Below are 21,377 nucleotides of genomic sequence, written 5' to 3' on the forward strand. Positions count from 1 at the left end.
ACAACCCCATCAAAAAGTGGGCGAAGGACATGAACAGACACTTCTCAAAAGAAGATATTTATGCAGCCAAAAAACACATGAAGAAATGCTCACCATCACTGGCCATCAGAGAAAAATGAACATTTCAAAGATGTGCTTCCAAATGCCAAATCATCACTAAAAAGCTCTGTGGCATAGAGGAAATTTCACAACCTTTTAGTGCCTCAATTTTGTGGAAGAATGGTTAGGAGGCTATTGCAATAACAAAAGAAAATTTGAATAGCTGTATCCAACATGAAAAGATTGCTAGTAGAATTAAATGAGTTACTATAGGTAAAACAATCAGGGAAGTAATTAAAGAGAATCTGCACTAACATTGTTTTATTAATTTAAAATATCTGTACACAATCCTTTGACTCATTTGGAATTAGTTTTAGTGTATTTTAGAAAATAAGGTTTATTTTTTATTTTCTCCCAAAACAATTCTTCAAGACAACTTTTCGAACAGTAAATTCCTTCTTTGTTTATAATATGTATTTTAATAAAGTCACTTATCTTCATGATTTCTAGGACATCGGTTCTATCTAATCTACTGTTCAGCATTCGTCTGAGTATTTTCTGAGCAGCAATTAACCCCTCTGTACCTCTGAGTGCCCACATTTCCTTGATCCATTTCACCTTGCTGATCAATCCTTCTTTACTCATAGTCTAAATTTTTTTTTTAGAACTTCTGAGAGTGCCCCAAACCTTGGTCTTGGGTCTTCCTTCAATCTTATTTGTCTTTCCACCTGATCTTAATTATTTACATCACATTATACCCTATCTTTATGGTGACAAATCTCAAAATTATCTCTCTGACCTAAACTTATCATTAAAGATTTGGTTGCAACTTATTAAGAAGTCAGGTTCAATGTAATACATGCATTGTTGATTTAATAAGCTCATCAAAATACTTAAAATTTTATTTGAATGCAAAAAAATAAAGCTTTTAATTTTATCTCCTATTTAATAATTTTGACAAAAACATTATACCAATCATTACTAATTATTGCTGGCTTTTAAAATATTATCTGATTAAATATTTTTGACTTGGAAAAATGGTAACAAATGCTTCTCTCTTTCTTGTCCCCTTGAACCATACTTGATATTGCTTTTTCCAAATCCGGGCCACAAGTTCAGAATATAACCTGTTAAAATATCTTCTGTGTATAAACTATCTTTAAATTTTCTTGAGAGAATACTGAGTAACCAAAAGCATTGCTCCTTCACCCTACAAAAGAGAGAAAAATTAAAAAATCACATTAATTTGTAATTTTAAATGGTAATTAAAGCTATTGTGAGGGCTCTTTTATCGGCCAAACTTGTGAACAAAAAACAGCTCAAATTTATGTGTAAATAAAATATATTGAGATGAAGCCTTTCATTCAATGTGTGATTTTCAGTTCAAAAAAACACACTGATGTTCAAGAACAAAGACTGGTACAATAACTATCTACAAAATGCTTTTGTTACTAGATTTTAATTCCTTCATCAAACAGACACAGTCAAAGTTGATAGTGTCACTAGATCTAGAGGTCTATCAATATCCTTCCCACCATTTAATATGTTCTTAATCTCAGGGAAATTCTAAATCATATTCTTCTAAACTGTACAGTTGACTCCTGAAAAACACAAGGTTTAGGGCCATCAAACCTCCCTAACCCCTCCCCACCACCCCAGCACAGTCAAAAATTCACATATAACTTTGGACTCCCCAAAACTAAACTAACAGCCTACTGTTGACTGGACAATCCTTAACACATATTTCATACGCTGTATGTATTTTACACCGTAGTTTTACAATGAAGCTAGTTACAGAAAAGAAAGTGTTATTAAGAAAATTATAGGGAAGAAAAAATACGTTTACAGTACTACAGTATATTTATTTCTCTCATAAGTTTACAATCCTGTGTTTACAAGATGGATCCTTCTTCTGAAATGGCAGCACACACAGCTGCAGACCTCAATCTAGGGTACCTATCAAGCAATTCATTGTTTTCCTGTAATGTCAGGACCCTTCTCTGTTTCCTGGAAGAACTTTCAGCATCACTAGCAGCACTTTTTATAGGTCTGAAGGTGTTATTCAAGGTTTATGGTATTGCACTAGACATCATGAATAATACAGGAGAAACATGAGAGAACACTTTTTACTGTGTTAATTTACTGGAGAGACAAGCTACTCACAAGAAGATGATTAGCATTATGTGGCATTTTAAGTGAATACTCACAACACTTGAGTTCACTGCAAGAACAACAGGTGGAGGCTAGGAAATTATCCCAGTAGTACAGTATGTATTACAGTTAATTTTGTGCAGTTATGATTTACTTTTGTATATTTTTGTTTTACTTTTCTCTAAACTTCAATTGGCTGCATGTATGCTCTGTGTTTGCCTACGTCTTGATAAATTTTAACTTTTTATAATAGACGCATATATATTTCATTGTATTAAATGATCACTAGTATCTACATATGATTTATGCATTCATGACATCGTTTTCTTAGTTTTTTAATATTTCTTGTGTAGATGGGTCACCTGTTATCTTTTTCAATTTTTCATAAATCTCCAAAAATTTTCTAATATATTTATAGGAAAAAATCTACATATGAGCAGACCTGCACAGTTCAAACCTGTGTTGTTGAGGAGTCAACTATATATTATAATTTAAGAGAGGATTCAACTCTTTCATTCTACTGGCAATGGGTTAACATAAACTTTAGTCAGAACTGCTGAGCTTTTCTGGCACAATGAGGACAAATTGACCAATGTATTTAACCAATAGCTGGGGGAAAATTTTGCTAAAATTGGTAAGTATATCTTTATATAACTATATCCTTACAACTTGTCTCAACCTTCGTCAGATTAATCCTAACAAAACTGTAAAATGTCTCAGTAAAAATCTAAATGAATTTTTCATAACAAGTGCTGGCAATAGATTTTAAATATGTTCTGATCATTATTTGTCTCTTGTTGGCATGGAGAAAATCCTTTTTTTTTTTTTCAGCCTGGGGAATCCCAAACTATATCTCTAGTAACAAGGAAACCATTTTACCGGAATTTTTATTAACATGGAAAAGTTCTGTCAATTAATCAGACTTCACTGTCCATATCACTTTCAACCTTTTGGGAAGGTAGAAAGATGGAATTCTGAAACTAAAGTTGGTAAAGTTCACAGAGATCGTCAAACTTGCATGGTCTAAGGTATTTCTTCTTTCTGTGGTTCATGAGTTAGTAACAGCTAAACCAAGTGTCTAGGAATATTAGCTCTGATTCTAGAAATCTACACTTATTTAACTAAATGCTGTAAGGACTCAGGAAATCCATTCTTTCAACAAAAGTTACTGAAGACTTTCCCCATTAGTATCCTAAACAATGTCTGCAAAATTGGTTTTCATACCTGGATACCTTGTCTTCTAAGAGACACGGCAGGGAAAGATCATAGGAAAAAAGTCACTATCAGGCACAGCTAACAACTAGCAAACCCATAGTCTTTAAAAGACTGATCCTTTGATTCCTATCTCTCAAGTAAAGAGGTTTAGGTCATCTTCATATTACAGGAAAGTATCCCTACCAAAAACTTCTAACTAACGACTCTTAGGATTCTTCCAAAAGCAAATAGTCTTTGGGAGAAGACAGCTTCCATCAAATGCCTTTGGATCAAGTGAATCACTATATGAGATATCGGTATCTGCAAACCAAGATCCACAAAAAAAGATCCATTGTTTGTCATATTTAATCTGTATATCTTGAGTTTTCATTTTCCTAGTTAACTTTATCTTTTTATGCTTAAGGTTACATTTAATTACTTTACCTATAAAGCTACTATTCCTAATTCCTCTATGCCGTCCTTAGTCACTCTCTAGAAGAGTCCGGAAGCTGGCCGTAATTTGTTCACAATTTGGCTAAACATGCAGTTGAATCAGTGCTAAGCTGCACACATTTTCCTTAGGATGCCAATTAGAGTTTTTTTTTTTTAACATCGATTCCTAAATATGAAACATCTGGGTTTATCAATAATTGGACTCACTATTTATTGTTATTTTATCTGACAAACAGCAGAGTATTAGATAAATAGAAATCTTAAATCCTAACATGCTGCACCCAGGAAAGAAAGCTTATGCCTACAGCAGAACAGCACTTAGGGATCTTTAATAGAATGCAACTTCTGTCACTAAACCTTTAGAAAGAAATGTCTTAAAAAGAAGAGAACAAATGGCACATACTTAATTCATTTCTCACATTTACATATCATAAAAAATTCTTATTACATATTCAAGCTCCTATCACATCTACCTCTTCCTCTATGTGATAAGGTCTTCATTTTATATCCCCAAAAGTGATTAATAGCAGAATGGAGCTGAAAGCAATCAATAAACTCAATCAACCTTAATGACTGCTACTGGATTTGTGGTACCAGAACCTATTGATTATTACAGCAATCTTGACATAAACTAACATACTGATGTGGTAGTCAGAATAATGGCTCTTCAGAGATGATGGGGTCCTAATCCAGATAATTTATAAATTTGTTAGCTTACCTGGCAGGACAGACTTTGCAAATGCAATTAGAGTTAAGGATTTTGAAATGGAGAGACTATCATAGATTTTTAGATGGCCAAATGCAATCATAAGATTCTTTACACGTAGAAGAGGGAGATATAAAAGGAGAATGTGAAGACTTGCTCCTTCATTTGTAGCTTTGAAGGTCAAGGAAAGGAACTGTTATGAACTGAATATTTGTGTCTCCCTAAAATTAATCTATTGAAGATGATTGGCATTGTTCAAATATTAATAGATTATTTTCAATGATCTATTAATTGGCAGTGTGATAGTATCTGGAGATGGAGCTTTTGGGAGGAACCTAGGTTGAGATAATGTCCTAAGTGTGGTGTTCTCATGATAATGTTAGTGTTCTTATAAGAAAAGGTGGAGATACTAGACCACCTCCCACCCAACCACCCTTCTCTTTCTCTCTCCGTAAACATGTATCCAGGAAAGGCCATGTGAACACAGAGAGAAGGAGGCCATCTACTAACCAGAGAGGGAGTGGGCCCTCACCATGAACCAAATATACCAGCACCTTAATCTTGGACTTCCCAACTTTCAGAACTCTGAGAAATAAATGTCAGTTGTTTAAGTCACCCGGTCTATGGTATTTTCTTACAGTATTCCAAGCTGCCCAAGACAGGGAACATGCATCAAAGAATGCAGCTGGATTCTAAAGCCTGGGAAAGGCCAGGTCATGGATTATTCCACAGAGCCTATAGAAGCAATGCAGTCTTCCAATGCTTTGATTTTAAATCAGTAAGACCTGTGTTGAACTTCTAACCTGGAATACTGCTAAACAATAAATTTATGTTGTTTTAAACTACTAAGTGTATTGTGATTTTTATAACAGCCACAGGAAAATAATACATTTGGCAAATCAGTGCATGTTTCATGATGGTCAATGATATGCCCCAGGGTCCATCTTAGCCATGATTTCTATCCCTTCAAAAACCAAAACAAAATAAAAAAGTAAAACAAAAAGACCAATTTTACTATACTACTTGATTTTTAACAATATTTTATATGTATTTAATCCAGTATATCCAAAATATTGTCATCTCAGCATAAAACAATATTAAAATTATTCAGTTTTACATTTTTTAAACTAAATCTAGTTTGTATTTTACATATAGCATAAATCAATTCAAATCCACCATATTTCAAGTGTTCAATATCTACATGTCACTAGTAATGACTATAGTGGACAGAATTGATCCAGATTTCCAGGTGTATTGCTATAAAACTAACCATATTTTTATCTTATTAAAACAAAACAAAACTCCTCCATAACTATGTCTATGTTCCTTTTGCTTTTATTAACATTGAACATATTCTTGTTTTTAATCTAATTTTGTCTGTATTTAGGTCTATTTTTTGGTGGTGTTATTTCTTGTATGCTTGGCATCAACTTTTTTTTCAATTTCTTAGACTATCTAAACTATTATGCTCTGAGTTTAGCTCAATTTCAATCAGCTACTCACTTTGAAAGACTCATTTAACTCTCTTAAGCCATTCTCCACAAACATGAAAAATCTTCCTCTCACTCTTCCCTGCTGAAACACTGCAAAAGTATGTCAAAATGGTGTACTTTCTTGGCACAGGGTTTCAATAAACTTAGTTTTGCTTTAATAACAAATTATCTGAATATATTTCAGGGAGTTCCACTGGTAAAAGCATAAAATCATGTTAGTTCAGGTCATCTTTTGTAAAGTTATGACAGTGCCATAGTATCAATTCTTGTCAAAATTTATGACTTCAAAATCAACTTAATATGCATCAACATAGATATTTTTTAGTTAATTCTAGACTCCAGGTGCTCATTTAAATAATATGGGTACATAAGACTGAACAAAACCAGTTGCTATTGAATGTACATTTTAGAGAAATACTTCATACACAGCTGTGTTTTGTTAAATAAGAAACTTGATGACATAATCAATATCACGGCAGCATACAACTGTTTGGTTAGTATGTCTCTTTAAACAAGCACATATGCTCATTCATGGAGTGTGTATTTGTATCTGTGTATGGTCTGTGTGGTGAAGCAGCAAGCAACAGTTGGATGTCTTAATTATCTAACAGGAAAAAACACCTAAATAATCAGAAGAAATTTTGATTTATTTATTAGTTCGACTGAGCTTTTCTCTTGAATGTAACACAGATGGTCCCAGATTTACAATGGTACAACTTTACAGCTTTATCATGGTACAAAAGTGATAAACATTCAGTAGAAACAATGCTTTTATTACCCATATACCCATTCCGTTTTTCACATTCAGTATTTAATAATTTACATGTGATATTCAACACTTTATTTAAAAATAGGCTTTAGGTTAGATTTTTTTTTTGGACTGGCTAATGTAAGTGTTCTGAGCACATTTCTTAAGTGTATTTTTTTTTAATACTTTAAGTTCTAGGGCACATGTGCACAACTTGCAGGTTTGTTACATATGTATACATGTGTCATGTTGGTTTGCTGCACCCATTAACTCATTATCTACATTAGGTATTTCTCCTAATGCTATCCCTACCCATCCCCCCACCCCACAATAGGCCCCAGCATGTGATGTTACCCACTCTGTGTCCAAGTGTTCTCGTTGTTCAATTCCCACCTATGAGTGAGAACACACGGTGTTTGGTTCTCCGTCCTTGCGAAGGTTTGCTCAGAATGATGGTTTCCAGCTTCATCCACGTCACTACAAAGGACATGAACTCATCATTTTTTATGCCAGCATAGTATTCCAGGGTGTATGTATGCCACATTTTCTAAATCCAGTCTATCATTGATGGACATTTCGGTTGGTTCCAAGTCTTTGCTATTGTGAATACTGCCACAATAAACATACATGTGCATGTGTCTTTATAGCAGCATGATTTATAATGCTTTGGGTATATACCCAGTAATGGGATCACTGGGTCACATGGTATTTCTAGTTCTAGATACTTGAGGAATTGCCACACTGACTTCCACAATGGTTGAACTAGTTTACACTCCCACAAACAGTGTAAAAGCATTCCTATTTCTCCACATCCTCTCCAGCACCTGTTGTTTCCCAACTTTTTAATGATCGCCATTCTAACTGGTGTGAGATGCTATCTCATTGTGGTTTTGATTTGCATTTCTCTGATGACCAGTAATTATGAGCATTTTTTCATGTGTCTGTTGGCTGCATAAATGTCTTCTTTTGAAAAGTGTCTGTTCATATCCTTTGTCCACTTTTTGATGGCTTTGTTTTTTTCTTGTAAATTGGTTTAAGTTCTTTGTAGATTCTGGATATTAGCTATTTGTCAAATGGGTAGATTGGAAAAATTTTCTCCCATTCTGTAGGTTGCCTGTTCGCTCTGATGGTAGTTTCTTTTGCTGTGCAGAAGTTCTTTAGTTTAATTAGACCCCATTTGTCTATTTTGGCTTTTGTTGCCATTGCTTTTGGTGTTTTAGACATGAAGTCCTTGCCCATGCCTATGTCCTGAATGGTATTGCCTAGGTTTTCTTCTAGGGTTTTTATGGTTTTAGGTCTAACATTTAAGTCTTTAATCCATCTTGAATTAATTTTTCTATAAGGTGAAGGAAGGGATCCAGTTTCAGCTTTCTACATATGGCTAGCCAGTACCATTTATTAAATAGGGAATCCTTTTCCCATTTCTTGTTTTTGTCAGGTTTGTCAAACATCAGATGGTTGTAAATGTTTAGCGTTATTTCTGAGGCCTCTGTTCCATTCCATTGGTCTATATCTCTGTTTTGGTACCAGTAAAATGCTGTTTTTGTTACTGTAGCCTTGTAGTATAGTTTGAAGTCAGGTAGCGTGATGCCTCCAGCTTTGTTCTTTTTGCTTAGGATTGTCTTGGCAATATGGGCTCTTTTTTTGATTCCATATGAACTTTAGTTTTTTCCAATTCTGTGAAGAAAGTCATTGGTAGCTTGATGGGGATGGCATTGAATCTATAAATTACCTTGGGCAGTATGGCCATTTTCACGATATTGATTCTTCCTACCCATGAGCATGGAATGTTCTTCCATTTGTTTGTGTCCTCTTGTATTTCGTTGAGCAGTGGTTTGTAGTTTTCCTTAAAGAGGTCCTTCACATCCCTTGTAAGTTGGATTCCTAGGTATTTTATTCTCTTTGTAGCAATTGTGAATGGGAGTTCACTCATGATTTGGCTCTCTGATTGTCTGTTATTGGTGTATACAAATGCATGTGATTTTTGCACACTGATTTTGTAACCTGAGACTTTGCTGAAGTTGCTCATCAGCTTAAGGAGATTTTGGGCTGAGATGATGGGGTTTTCTAAATATACAATCATATCACCTGCAAACAGGGACAATTTGACTTCCTCTTTTCCTAATAGAATGCCCTTTATTTCTTTCTCTTGCCTGACTGCCCTGGCCAGAACTTCCAACACTATGTTGAATAGGAGTGGTGAGAGAGGGCATCACTGTCTTGTGCTAGTTTTCAAAGGGAAAGCTTCCAGTTTTTGCCCATTCAGTATGATACTGGCTGCGGGTTTGTCATATATAGCTCTTATTATTTTGAGATATGTTCCATCAATACCTAGTTCATTGAGAGTTTTCAGCATGAAGGGCTATTGAATTTTGTCAAAGACCTTTTCCGCATCTATTGAGATAATCTTGTGGTTTTTGTCTTTGGTTCTCTTTATGTGATGGATTACATCTATTGACTTGCGTATGTTGAACCAGTCTTGCATCCCATGGATGAAGCCAACTTGATCTTGGTGGATAAGCTTTTTGATGTGCTGCTGGACTCGGTTTGCCAGTATTTTTGTTAAATGTACTAAATGCATTTTTTACCTAAAATATTTTCAACTTATGAGTATATCCAGATCCATCATAACACATCTTGGCCTGTGGTTATCAGGATGTAACTCATTATAAGTCGAGGTAGATTTGTATTATATCCCATGTACACACACACACACACACACACACACACACACACACACACACACACACACAGACTTAATCTGTTTACAGAAATAAAAGGAATAAAATACCGTTTCTATTATACACCAAAACTAGCCATCTTGACAGATACTTCACTCTGAAAAATAACGTTTTATAGCTACTTTACAGATTAGTATAATAATTTGGTGTTTCTGTTTCAGAGATTCGATTTCACATTTCAATAAGTAGGCCGCTCCCTCTGCTAAGCCTGGGAATGTAATTCTTTTGAAAAACTATCTGTGCTGTAAAATTACATGTCATATTGGGAAAAGGACAATCGCAAACAGTAGTCACACATAAAATCAAGCAACACAGACATCCTTTTCACATACAGTGAAGACCCTTGTCAATTTTGAGATTACACAGGAAAACAGAATGGGGGACAAGTGTCTCTGACACATAGAAAATCCCGTGAAGAAGAACTCAGCTGACACAATCAAAACATACACAAAACTGAAAGAAACAAGGTGAGTGCTTTTTATATTAGTTCAGCTGTCAAGAAAGTGTAAAATAAACCTAACATTTTTTTACTAAGTGAGGATTTTCTTTTTTGAAACATCATCATTTATATTTATCCAGTTTGCAACTTCATCAGCTGAATCTCAGGATGTGTTCCATGACACTGAAGGACAATTAAATCATATCCATGACAATATATGAGAAGCTGACAGGAGAACATGGTGGCATTTGAATTAATGTCTATCATTAGATAGAATTTCTGATCACATAATTTAAGTTGTAGTTTTCCATACAATTTAATCAAGATAAGCACTTATTAGGTGAGTGATATACTTTGGCTCTGTGTCCCCACACAAATCTCATGTTGAATCGTAATCCCCACGTGTCAGGGGAGGGGTCTGGTAGGAGGTGATTTGATCATGGGGGTGGATTTCCCATACTGTTCTCGTGACAGTCAGTGAGTTCTCACAAGATCTGATGGTTTAAAAGTGTGTGGAACTTCCCCCCGGCTCTTCTCTCTACTGACACCATGTGAAGAAGGCACCTGCTCCCCCTTTACCTTCTGCCATGATTGTTAGTTTCCTGAGGCCTCCCAGTCGTGCTTCCTGTTAAGCTTGCAGAACTGTGAGTCAATTAAACCTCTTTTCCTCATAAATTACCCAGTAGTTCTTTATAGCAGTTTGAGAAGAGATAGATACAGAAAATTGGTACCAGAGAAGTGGGGCATTGCTATAAAAATACCTGAAAATATGGAAGTAACTTTGGAACTGGGTAACAGGCAGAGGTAGGAAACAGTTTGGAGGACTCAGAAGAAGACAGGGAGATATGGGAAAGTTTAAATCTTCCTAGAGACCTGTTGAATGGTTGTGAACAAAATGCTGATAATGATTTGGATAATGAAGTCCAGGCTGAGGGGGTCTCAGATGGAGATGAGGAACTCATTGAGAACTGAAGAAAAAGTTACTCTTGCTATGCTTTAGCAAAGAGACTGACAGCCTTTTGACCCGGCCCTAGAGATCTGTGTAATGTTGAACTTCAGAGAGATGATTTAGGGTATCTGGTGAAACAAATTTCTAAGCAACAGACCTTCCAACATGTGGCCTGGCTGCTTCTAAAAGTTTATGCTCATGTCCATGAAGAAAGAGATGGCTTGAAACTGAAACGTATATTTAAAAGGAAAGCAGACCATAAAAGTTTGGAAAATTTGCAGCCTAACCATATAGTAAAAAAGAAAAACCCACGCTCTTGGGAGAAATTCAAGCAAAAATTTGCATAAGTAAAGAGGAGCCAAATGTTAATGGCAAAGACAATGTGGAATACGTCTCCAGTACATTTCAGAGACCTTTGAGGCAGCCCCTCCCATTATAAGCCTGGAGGCCTAGGAGGGAGAAATTGTTTAGTGGGATGGGCCCAGGGCCCTGCTGCTCTGGGCAGCCTCGGGACATGGTGCCCAGTGTTCCAGCTGCTCAGCTCCAACTGTGGCTAAAAGGGTCCAAGGCACTACTCAGGCCATTGCTTCAGAGAATACAAGCCTCAAGCTTTGGTGGCTTCCACATGAGGCTGGGCCTGTGGTTGTGCAGAAGGGAAGAGGTGAGGTTTGGGAACCTCCATCTAGATTTCAGAGGATGTATGGAAATGCCTGGATGTCTAGGCAAAAGTCTGCTGCAGAAGTGGAGCCCTTATGGAGAACCTCTACTAGGGCAGTGCAGAGGGAAAATGTGGGGTTGGAGCCCCCACACAGATTCCCCACTGGGGCACTCCCTACTGGAGCTTTGAGAAGAGGGTCATAGTGCTTCAGACCCCAGAATGGTAGATCCACTGACAGCTTGCACGGTGTGCCTGGAAAAGTCACAGGCACTCAATCCTAGCCTGTGAAAGCAGCTGTGGGGGCTGTGCCTTGCAGAGCCACAGAGGCAGAGCTGTCAAAGCTCATGGGAGCCCAGATATTGCATCAGTATGCTCTGGACGTGAGAGATGAGGTCAAAGAAGATTGTTTCAGAGCCTTAAGATTTAATGACTGCCTTGTCGGGTTTTGGACTTGCATGGGGCCTGCAGACCCTTTGTTTTGGCTAATTTCTCCCTTATGGAATTGGAGTGTTTACCTGATCCCTGTACCCCCACTGTTGTCTTGAAATTAACTAACTTGTTTTTGATTTTACAGGCTTATAGGCAGAAGTGATTTGCCTTGTCTCAGATGAAACTTTGGACATGGACTTTTGAGTTAATGCTGGAATAAGTTAAGACTTCCAGTCTGTTGGGAAGGCATGATTGGTTTTGAAATGTGAGAAGGACATGATACTTGGGAGGGGCCAGAGGAGAAATAATATGGCTTGGCCCTCTGTCCCCACCCAAATCTCATCTCAAATTGTAATCCCCTCATGTCAAGAGAGGGGCCTGGGTGGAGGTGACTGGATCATGGGAGCAGATTTCCACATGCTATTCTCATGATAGTGAGTGAGTTCCAAGAGATCTGATGGTTTAAAAGTGTGTGGCACTTCCCTCCTTGTGCTCTCTCTCTCCTGGTGCCATGTCAAGAAGAACCTTGTTTCCCCTTTGCCTTCCACCATGATTTTCTGAGTTTCCTGAGTCCTCCCATTCATGCTTCCTGTAAAGCCTGAAGAACTATGAATCAATTAAATCTCTTTTCTTCATAAATTACTCAGTCTCAAGTCATTCTTTATATCATTGTGAAAACTGACTACTACGGTTAGCAATCTTAAAGAATACTTGTGATTTTGAGAATCAGGCACATATTTTTTTAATAATCGGACTGCTTACAATTGTTTAACTCCTTGCAACTTATAGTTAGTGCCTAAAACTTTGATGACTTTCATTACATTTCAATGGCTCTGTTCCCTTATAGCAAACTACCTTTTTTACTGTACTTACTGTAACTACAGTGCATTTATTTTCAGCCCAAATAGTATTCAGTAATAAGCATTTCTTCCCACATAAGAATAAGTTATATTCCTATTCACTATATTCTAGAATTTCTATTTTCCTTCCACAGTGCCAGCTAAAATTAAAGTGGAATAATCTATTGGGGCCCTGTGTATTTAATGTTTGTTTTCTTAGTATATTATAAACACTGTGAAGGAAGGAAATCCTTGCCTCTTGTTTATACTTTTATCTCCATTATAGAAACACTCTGCATTATTTTCTTACTGCTGCTGTAGCCAATTACTACAAAGTTAGTGGTTTAAAATAGCACAAATATAGTGTCAAACAATTGTGTTTGTCAGATGTCTGCAATGCATCTTATGAGGCTAAAATCAAAGAGTGAGAACTGTTGTGTTCCTTTCTGAAGGTTTTAGGGGAAAATCAGTTTCCTTGACTTTTCCAGCCTCCAGAGGCTGTCCTGATTTGTTAGCTTATGGTCTTTCATTTGTTCAAACCAGAAATGCTGTGTCTCTCTGACCATTCTTTTGAAATCATACCACCTTATGTTTCTAGCCAAGAATGTTTCCCTAGTTTAAACCCATTTGATTACACTGAACTCAAAAGGACACTTTTTCATCTTACCATCCTTAACATTATAATACTTGCAAAGCCCCTTTTACCAGATAGTTAACATATTCACAGCTTCCAGAAATCAGGACATGCGGTTTTTTTTTTGTTGGTTTGTTTGTTTTGTAAACCATTATTTTGCTTACTATACTGTCTTAATTGGAGGAAGCAACTTCTTCGAATAGGTGAATTAATTTCAAATTGATAATGTGATTCTGAATGAACATTAAAGAAATCAACTATTACACCGAACATTACTTTATTGAGCTAAACAAATATTAACTGACTATATAAAATTCATTACACATTTGGAGATAGAATTTTGTACTCTTTAATAAGACTTTTTACATTTTTTGCAATCCTTTTTCTTATTTAAAAAATCAGTACTGTATTAGTACCCACAATATAAGTTTGTTCTAAGAATCAAATGAGATAAACATTTCAGACACCTATCATAGTATCAAGTTCATATCGTAAGCCTAAAATACCAGATGACTTTTATTATTTTCAGAATGTAGTCAAAATCAACATAAAGTTACATTAACACTTGGTTTACTGTATCATAATGCTAGCTTTGTGTCATATCTATCTAGAGAGTACACTGAATAGCTTAAACCAAGTAGAAGGTGATTTCTTGCTTACATAACAGTTTACCATAAGTAATTTTGGCTAAAGACGCATCTTTCCTGCAAAAAATAATTCAAGTTAACGAAGGATCTACTATTACCAAATTGTATCTTCCCAGATTACTTTGTATATATCACCATTCCAGAAGACAAAAGACTACTCATGAAATACAATTTGCACACTTCTTTATATATGAAAAATTCACTTCTCTTCCCTCTGTAAACAACTTAAAGTTTTGCCCAGTTACTGCCTACAACTTAGAGTTCAGGATGTTTCATGACGTGCAGTTCTCTCCCTCAGGCCACTATATGACTTAACGAGGACTAGTGTCCTATAAAGTCAAAAGACAAATTATCTGTAAAATCTAAGTTACCATGGTGAAGCTCCTATCAGAAGACAAAGAAGTCTGCAGAGCACTGACAAAAATATTTCTGAGCAGTACAAATATTTATTTGATGAAACCATAAACATGTCCTGTGGAAATAACTTTAAGGTCCATTGTCCCTGTGGCTCATAGATTTACTTTCTGAGGTAATTTACATTTTCTCTTATTCTCCATGCCTCCATCTTAAATTAGAACAATGAGTGTTTTCTCAGCATGACTCATCAATTGCACTGATTAGTGCAATTTGGGATGCTTGAGGATATTTTAAGCCTTAATTTTTTTTTCTCACAATAGGCTTATTGTACCTTTGCCAAGTAGTTATGTGGAAACCATTTATTTATTTATTGGATCTAGTTTATAACCAAACATACAGTTCTTTCCTAGGTATAATTCTAAAGTCTGCCTCATTTCCTTCTTTTTTCTCCTCCCCAACACACATATGCTTCTCTGACTGTAAAGATGACTACTTTAAGGTCATTTGAAATCATGGACTTGAAAGAGAAAACAACTTCCCTGATGAGTTCTTTGCTTCAGGGCTGGGTTCCTTGTTTTTTATGAACACAGTAGGATTTAATTTCTGAGCAGCTTTTTCAACCTAATCAGAAAAACCTGAGCTTTTCTGTCACTGTATAATTCCACCATTACTAGACTTTTTGTTTACAAGTGGTTTCCAACAAGGAATGACTTTGTTTCCATAGAACACTTGTCAGTGTCTGGAGACATTTTGAATTATAATGATTAGGTGGTGATGCTACTGGTATGTGGTGGTATAGCCTAAAGATACTATTAATATCCTACAATGCAAAGAATAACCTCCCACAGAATGCAGGAATATCAGGCATAAAATGTCAATAATGCTAAGGTTTAGCAACTCAACTCTATCCACTTTCTTTCCACTCTAAAGACAGGATATTTCTTTTTTCTTTTTTTTTTTTTTTTTTTTTTGCCTGTGTTTATCTATTTCTTGGATTATGGAACAGAACAAACATGAACACATTACCTTTTGCCTTTCCTCATTTCCCACACTCTTTCCTAGAGGTAATATTAAGCTTCCAATTAATTTTAGATGGTAGTTTCAATAATTTTTTTTCACTGGGTATTACAAGTCTTCATTTCAACCCTCTGAGTTTGGTTTACTTGTCCATTTAATACTAATTTAGTGGATACGTTTTAGGTGCTGTTATGGCAGACCCAACTCAAGCTGGTGATTTCTATATTACTTGGAATCGTGCTAGTTGCTTTGACAACTACACTCAACAACATATAATATCTTAAACAGAACAGAAGTTTCATTCATATAAACTGTTTTTTTAAGATAGGAAAAGCATTGCTCCTTTATGTCCGCATTCAAGAACATAGGCTACTAAGGTATTTAATCTGCAGTATGTTGCTTCCAAGACTACTGTAGAATTGGCCGTTCCAGTCAAGCATACTGAAAAACGTATACAGAAGAGTGCATGTTGGGATTTTGGAGACTAAATTGGATATAAAATATGTTATTTCTACTAATTTTCCACTATTTTGACTTTAATCCCATGCCCTAATATAAAGTATATAAGAATGAGAAACATAGTTTATGTATCTATCAAAATAGAACATAAATGTTTGTGAACATTTGAATCTGTCAGCTTCTCTTGCTCACGTGCCTGTAGTGCCTGTACTCAGGATGCTGAGGCAGGAGAATCGCTTGAACCCAGGAGGTGGAGGCTGCAGTGAGCTGAGGTCACACCACTGCACTCCAGCCTGGGCAACAGAGCGAGACTCCATCTCAAAAAAAAAAAGAAGTGACTCAACTGATTGATGTGTAAAACCTCATTGTAAAATAATGTTCTACAAATGAGACATTAATACAGTTAAATTTTTGGATTAAAAAAGTCTGCCACTTTGTGAATATGTTTTATTTAGGCTTGATTTAGTTAATTTTCTTTTTTCTTTTTCTTTTTCTTTTTTTTTTTTTTTTTTTCTGAGGAGTTTCACTGTTGCTGCCCAGGCTGCAGCGCAGTGCTGGGATCTCGGTTCACTGCATCCTCCACCCCGCCAGTTCAAGTGATTCTCCTGCCTTAGCCTCCTGAGTAGCTGGGATTACAGGCACCCACCACCATACCCGGCCAATTTTTTGTGTTCTTAGTACACATGGGGTTTCACCATGTTGGCCAGGATGGTCTCGAACTTCAGACCTCAGGTGATCCGCCCACCTTGGCCTCCCAAAGTGCTGGGATTACAGGCATGAGCCACCGCACCCAGCCAGTTAATTTTTCTATTAACTAAGACCTAATTAAGATTGAGGCAGAAGAAATGGGTCCTTGGGATTTGAAAATTACTATTCAATTTGGAAGTTTAATTTGCAACATAGATTGTCTGTTATTAAATTACTAGATATAATATCACAAAGGTGGAAAGAAAGGTTGCTTAGTTAAAGATCTAAGTTACTAGTCATGGTGTCAGATATAGAGAATGATTGAAGGTTATCAGAGTCACACACCAGATGAGTAAATTGTTGTTTTCAAGGAAGAGGTTACATAAAGGTAAGCGGAGTAATATTTTAGCATTTTTGTTAATTAAAAATTTGTAAAGTTATTTCCATTTCAAGGAAATTACTCTCAGTAATTTTACGGGTAAAATGACAAATTCCAAGTTTAATTTTCACATGTAACACCCTCCTTGAGCACTTATTTTTATAAAGCTATTAATCTATTTTGGTCTCAATTTACCTTTCTTTAAAGAGATTTTAAAATTTTCTGAAAGAAGCTAACATCTGGAAGTGTAGCTGTTATATTTTTCAATTTTTAATTACATATTTAATTATCCTTTAATTACTTAAGGTTATTCTCAAAAGTGAAGAGAAAGCTGGGATCACACTGCGTAAGATTTTACTCCTGAATGTAATATTCAAAAATGTTACAAAGTCTATCAAAAGGTTTTCATTCTGTGACAATACATGGTCAATTTGACATTGTCAGGAAGCACCACCCCCACTGAGAGATACCAAATTATGGAGTAAACCACCGTAATTTAGGCAGATCTTGAGAGAGAAAATGCTGAGTGGATGCAGAGGCAGCAATGAAGCTGAGCTGAAGAGGGAGGAAGCCTGTGCAGGGAACCCAAACACTACAGCTAGTTCCCCAGAATGGCTCCTAGGAAAGGGCCTCTGCCTGAGAGAGACCTGTGGCCTAGAACACCTAACACAAGAAACACAGTGATTGCAGGAGACTCCCCCAGGGCCCAGGAGCACATCTGGTGATGGAGGCATCTCTCCCACCCCCACTATAGAGCACACCTGCAAACAAAAGGAAGTATAAAACAGCCATGCCACTGGGTATTAGGCTAGCCACTGGCCATCACTCTTAAGCACTATGCATTGGATCACATCCCAAACTACAACATCAAAATTTATCCTGCTACATATACACCTGTGAAACCAAACACCAGAATTACTCATACATAAAAATCCTGGACAGAGAAAGCCCTGACCCTTTGAAAGCATCCAGAAACAAAACCAATTGCCTATACTCAACATACACTACAGTTAAAGGAACACTAACCCTACCAGAAGAGAAAAAATCAGTGCAAGAACTCTGGCAATTCAAAAAGCTAGAGTGTCCTCTTACCTCAAAATTAGCCCACTAGCTACCAAGCAATGGTTCTTAATCAGTCTAAAATAATTGCAACAGACATAGAATACAGAACCTCGATGGCAGGGAAGCTCATGAACATTAAGGAGAAAGTTGAAACCCTAGCCAAGTAATCCAGTAAAGCAATTTAAGTAAGTGCTGAAAGATGAAATTGCCATTTTAAACAACAGCCACACTGAATTTCTAGAGCAGAAAAAATTCAGTATAAGAATTTTATAATACAATAAGAAATATTAACAGAAGGTAGGCCAAGCTAAGGAAAGAATCTCAGAGCTCAAAGACTGGTTCGTTGAATCAACTGAGTCAAAAGAAAATTTTAAAAAAGAATTAAAAAAAGAAAATGAACCAAAGCTTTAAGAAATATGGAATTATATAAAGAGACCAAATCTACGACTCATTGTCATTCCTAGAAGAGAAACAAAGAGAAAAGGCAACTTGGAAAATAGATTTGAGAATAGAGTCTATGAAAATTTTCCTAACCTCGCTAGAGAGAGTGACATGTAAATCCAAAAAATACAGCAAACCCAGCTAGGCACTATAAAAGGTGACTATCCCTAAGGCACACAGTCATCATATTCACCAAAGTAAATACAAAAGAAAAAAAAAATCTTAAAGGCAGCTAGAGAGAAAGGTCATGTTTTCATAAAGCAAGAACTCCACTAGGCTAGTAGTAAATATCTCAGCAAAAACCTTACAAGCCAGAAGAGATTAAGGGCCTATGTCCAACATCATTAATGAAAATAAATTCCAGGCAATAATTTTATATTTCACTAAACTAAACTTCCTAAGTGAAGAAGAAACAAATTTCTCCTCAGATAAGCAAATACTGAGGGAATCAATTTCAACTTGACCAGCCTTATGAAAGGTCCTTAAGGGAGTGCTATACATTGAGTAAAAAGAATGACACCTGCTACCACAAAAGCCCACTTAAGTACATAGCTCACAGGCACTATAAAGTATCTACACAATCAAGTCTACCTAAAAACCAGCTACAAACGTGATGATAGGATCAAAATCTCATGTATCAACATTAACCATAAATGTAAATAGGCTAAACACCCCCACTTAAATGACATACAATGGCAAACTGGATAAAAATGCAAGGCTCACCATCTGTAGTCTTCAAGAGACTCATCTCATATGTAATGACAGCCACTGGCCCAAAATAAGGGGATGGAGAAAATCTGCCATGCAAATGATAACAAAAAAGCAGGAGTAACTATTCTTATATCAGATAAAACAGACTTTAATCAAAATTAAAAAGAACAATTGAAGAATGAAGAGCATTACGTCATGAGAAAGTATATGATCAAACAAGAATACTTAAGTACCCTAAATATAAATGCACCCAACATGGAGCACCCAGATTCATAAAACAAGTTCTTTTTGGACTACAAAAAGACAGACGACCACCCAATAACTGTAGGAGACTTCAACACCCCCGCTGGCAGCACTGGATCATCAAAGCAGATAACCAAGAAAGAAACTGTGTACTTAAACTTCACACTTGACCATTTGGACCTAATAAGACATCTACAGAACACTCCACTCAATAACCACAGAATATACATTCTTCTCATCTGCACAGGGAACATATTCTAACATTGACCACATGCTTGGTCATAAAGCAAGTCTGGATAAATTTTAAAAAATGAAATCATATCAAGCACACTCTTAGATCTCAATGTAATCAAAATATAAATAAATATCAACATCTCTCAACACTACACAAATAGATGAAAATTAAACAACTTTCTCCTGAATAACTTCTGTGTGAAAATCAAAATTAAGGGAGAAATTTTAAGAAAGTGAAATTAATGAAAATGGGAACACAAATTACCAAAATCTCTGGGATGCAGCTAAATCAGTGTTAAGAGGAACGTTTAAATGCCTTTATCATAAAGTTAGAAATACTTCAAATTAACAATCTAACACTACACCTAAAGGAACTAGGGAAGAAAAAAAAAAGAACAACCCTACATCAACGCTAGGAATGAAAAGAAACAACTAAAATAGAGAAGATCTGAATGAAATTGAGATGCAAAAATCCATACAAAAGATTAATGAAACCAAGAGTTGATTTAAAAAAAGAGATTGATAGACCTTTAGCTAGATAAACAAAGAAAAAAAAGAGAAGATCTAAATATATAAATCAGAATGACAAAAACGACATTAAAAATGGTCCCACAGACATACAAAATAATCCTCAGAGAATACTAGGAATAACTCTAGACACAAAAATTAGAAAATCTAGAGGAAATGGATAAATTTCTGAAAACAGGCAATCTTCCAAGATTGAATCAGGAAGATACTGAAATACTGAAGAGACCAATATGAAGCTCTGAAATTGAATAAGTAATAAAAAATCTACCAAGCCAAAAAGCCCTGGACTATATGGATTCACAGCAAAATTCTACCGGAAGTATAACGAAGAACTAGTACAATTCTACTGAAACTATTCCAGAAAAGTTGAAGAGAACGTACTCCTTCCTAACTCACGCTGTGAAGCCAGAAGCAGCTTAATACCAAAACCTGGCAGAGACGCAAAAAAAAAAGAACATTCAGGTGACCACTGTTGACGAACATAGACTCAAAAATTCTCAACAAAGTACTAGCAAACTGAATCCATCAGCAGCATATCAAAAAATTAATCTACTATGACAATACAGGCTTTATTCCTGGGATGCATGGCTGGTTCAACATATGCAAATCAATAAATGTGATTCACCAGATAAACAGAATTAAATCAAAAACCATATGATCATCTCAATGGATGCCGGAAAAGCTTTCAATTAAATCCAGTGTCCCTTCATGAAAAAACAAAACAAAAAAAAACCCTCAACAGTTGAGGCTTCAAATAAGCATACTTCAAAATAAAAAAGAGCTATCTACAACAAACCCACAGCCAATATAATACTCAATGGGCAAAAGCTGAAAGCATTCTCCTTTAGAAATGAAACAAGCCAAGGACATCCACTCTTACCACTCCTATTCAACATAGTACCAGAAATCCTAGTCAGAGCAATCTTGCAACAGAAAAAGAGAAAAGCACCCAAATAGGAAGTGAAGATTAAGGCAAACTATCTGTCTTCACCCAACAATATCATTCTATACCTAAAAAACCTTAAAGACTTCAACAGAAGTCTACTAGAAATGATAAAGGATTTTAGCAAGGTTTCAGGATACAAAATCAATGTACAACAATTAGTAGCATTTCTATACAACAACAACATCCAGGTTGA

The 21,377-nt window shown here is 36.0% G+C and overlaps 1 long non-coding RNA gene across 2 annotated transcripts in view; it reads right to left on the reverse strand.

The window, feature by feature from the left end:
- LOC105379016 (uncharacterized) overlaps positions 1-21,377 on the reverse strand; it is a 30,505-nt gene that overhangs the window by 5,738 nt on the left and 3,390 nt on the right. Inside the window, exons 2-3 of one of the 2 annotated variants that reach the window (XR_948417.3) lie at positions 19,246-19,319; positions 55-1,249 (exon numbers count right to left, since the gene is read on the reverse strand). This is a non-coding gene — a long non-coding RNA (uncharacterized LOC105379016). Of the gene's footprint in view, positions 1-54; positions 1,250-19,245; positions 19,320-21,377 lie in introns of those variants that run through there. The other variant, XR_948416.3, reaches the window with a different exon arrangement.

Source organism: Homo sapiens, chromosome 5 (assembly GCF_000001405.40).
Source record: "Homo sapiens chromosome 5, GRCh38.p14 Primary Assembly".
Taxonomy (NCBI): domain Eukaryota; kingdom Metazoa; phylum Chordata; class Mammalia; order Primates; family Hominidae; genus Homo; species Homo sapiens.